The sequence below is a fragment of the Homo sapiens genome, chromosome 14 (genome assembly GCF_000001405.40).
Source record: "Homo sapiens chromosome 14, GRCh38.p14 Primary Assembly".
NCBI lineage: Eukaryota > Metazoa > Chordata > Mammalia > Primates > Hominidae > Homo > Homo sapiens.
In genome coordinates, this window is record NC_000014.9 from 43857007 (window position 1) to 43859699 (window position 2693).

Below are 2693 nucleotides of genomic sequence, written 5' to 3' on the forward strand. Positions count from 1 at the left end.
CTGAGAAAACTATGAGCACATCCTAGAAGCTGATGTGATCAACACAGAAGAACATAATCACAAGGTAATTTCTGGATTGTCAACTTCTTTCAAACTTGATGTTTTATTTCTATTTATTTATTTATTTTGAGACAGGGTATCGCTCTGTCTCCCAGGCTGGAGTGCAGTGGCGTGATCTTGGCTCACTGCAGCCTCTGCCTCTTGGGTTCAAACGATTCTTGTGCCTCAGCCTCCCAGGTAGCCGGGATTACAGGCGCACACCACCACACCTGGCTAATTTTTGTATTTTTTGGTAGAGACGGGCTTTCACCATGTTGGTCAGGCTGGTCTCGAACTCCTGACCTCAAGTGATCTGCCTGCCTTGGCCTCCCAAAGTGCTGGGATTACAGGTGTGAGCCACCACACCCAGGCTTAATGTACTATTTTTAAACAATATTTCAATATTTTAATTAGGCTAATCTATATCCTATAAACAGCTCATTTAATACACACACATAACCATTTTACAATAATGCCAGATTATTTTGTAAAACTATATAGTTATGTGAAATATGTATTTTAGTTTGAAATAGCAAAATCAGATTTCAAGAGCTGTGTTGTCTCATGTATCACAAAGTTCATTTAGCCACAGCTACTCCTAAGAATGAACTATTTTTTCCAGACATAATCCATTTCAGTTATAGCTAACTTTTCCTATTTCAAAGGTCCTATATACTCTAACAAGAGAGCACTCTTCACAACACAAGTACAGTCAGAGTGCAGAGTACTCAATCACAACACAAGTACAATCATGACTCAAACAATTGAAAAAAATTTTTTGGATTGATGACTTACATTAGTTTCACTGACCTTAACCATCCCCTCCTTTGCGAAACCTTTTCTGTTTTGTCGACTAAATGAACACACTTTTTTACCTGTAGCCATGGATCTGGAACACCACAATTTTACATTCATTTCTTTGATATTCCCATTACATGTTAAAGACAACCAATTAAATCATATCTTAAAAGGTCTTATCTGTAGAGTCTTTTGGTAACATTTCACCGATTTTTAAATTCCTTCATTTCTGATTTTTTAACATAGTTTGAGGTGCTGCATATTCCAGGTTCCTCTTTGACCAATCTGAGAGCATTATTGAATCCCCTGCTCTTACTTAGCTCTGATGTTCTAATTTCATTACATTTTTCTTTCTGTTTATAGACATACTCATCAACTTCCAGGAGTTTGACAGCATTCATTTGCCAAACTGTGTTTGGGTGCAAGGTGCCAGATATACAAAGGTAGACTAGATATACTCCTGCCTTCTAGAAGCTCTGATAACATCTTTCCTATATATTTCCAACACAACTTTAGAAATCTTCACCTTTAAGCACTGTGAACATCTCAAACTTACAATACATAAACTTTTGACCCTAAAATTTACTGTTCTTTAATTTGATAGATGGCACAATATCCACCATTAAAAAATATAATTAACTTACTCTCTTGCCTCTACTCAAACTTCAGAATCAAAGAGTAAATTTAATTTATTTCACATTCACATCTTTTAATTCAGGACTCTATTAATGATTTTAGATATTCATTAATGCTAGTTTCAAATCTGGTTTCTCCAACTACAACTTGAGTGATTTTGAACAGGACAAAATCCTTATATCTCAAGTACTTTGTTGGTACAACAGAAATAACCTCCAACTAACAGGATGTTGAAGAAACATGTAAAGAGCATAGCACATAGTATTACTGAATACATTTTGATATTTTCTCTTCCCCAAATATTTCTTCTTTTCTGGTGTTACTGATGTAGATTATGTATTATTTGGTTCCATCTGGATATCCCACTACAGATTTACTTTCCTCTCTTCTCTGTCAACTCCACAATGTTATTAAATTGATTATTCTGCTGAAAGACTTCCAGACTTACTAATTGTTCACAATAAAATATAAATAAACACAATAAAATATTAATTCCTCACAGTAAAATATTAATTCCCACAGCATATCACCACATTTTATGCACTTCTGTGTACACCCCACAAGGCTCAGTCTTAGGCATAGAACACATATTTTTCAAATGTCTTCTGATTTTGTTCACTTCCCTTATAAAAATGTGTGCATAAAGTCCATACTACATCTTTGTAGATATTCATATTTGAAAGAGGGCAGTTATATTTAAGCTAATGTTTACTTAAGAATTATGTGAGTAAGAGAGAAGGAAGTGAGTTTAGGCACAGCATCTAACAGATTTATAAAATCAAACCTTCTCTTACTAAATCTTCTGCTTTGTGAACATCTTTCTGCTTAATTTGTTTTGTTTAGGAAATTTTAAAAAGTCCATAGTCACATAATCTACATGCTCTCAGTTGGAGCCTATGCTTCCTTAATATTTATCTTTCTGATGCTTTCCCTATATTGGATATTACATCTGGATAACAATGCAATGAAAAGTAGGAAGACTTCCCCATTGAGGTTCACTTCATCTGCATTCCTATGGTTGGTATGACCTCAATCATTACAGGAAAATGTAGGTTCCTGCTGTTTTCCTCACATGACTCTAGATCCCAACACCTTGGTTATTGGATATGACATTTAGTACTATGAAACTTTTTTGGAGAAAACTCAATTCTGTTTGAGAACTGAGCAATTATGTACCACCTTTCATATCCTCTTGCTGTTTCTTCCAGATTTAACAAAAT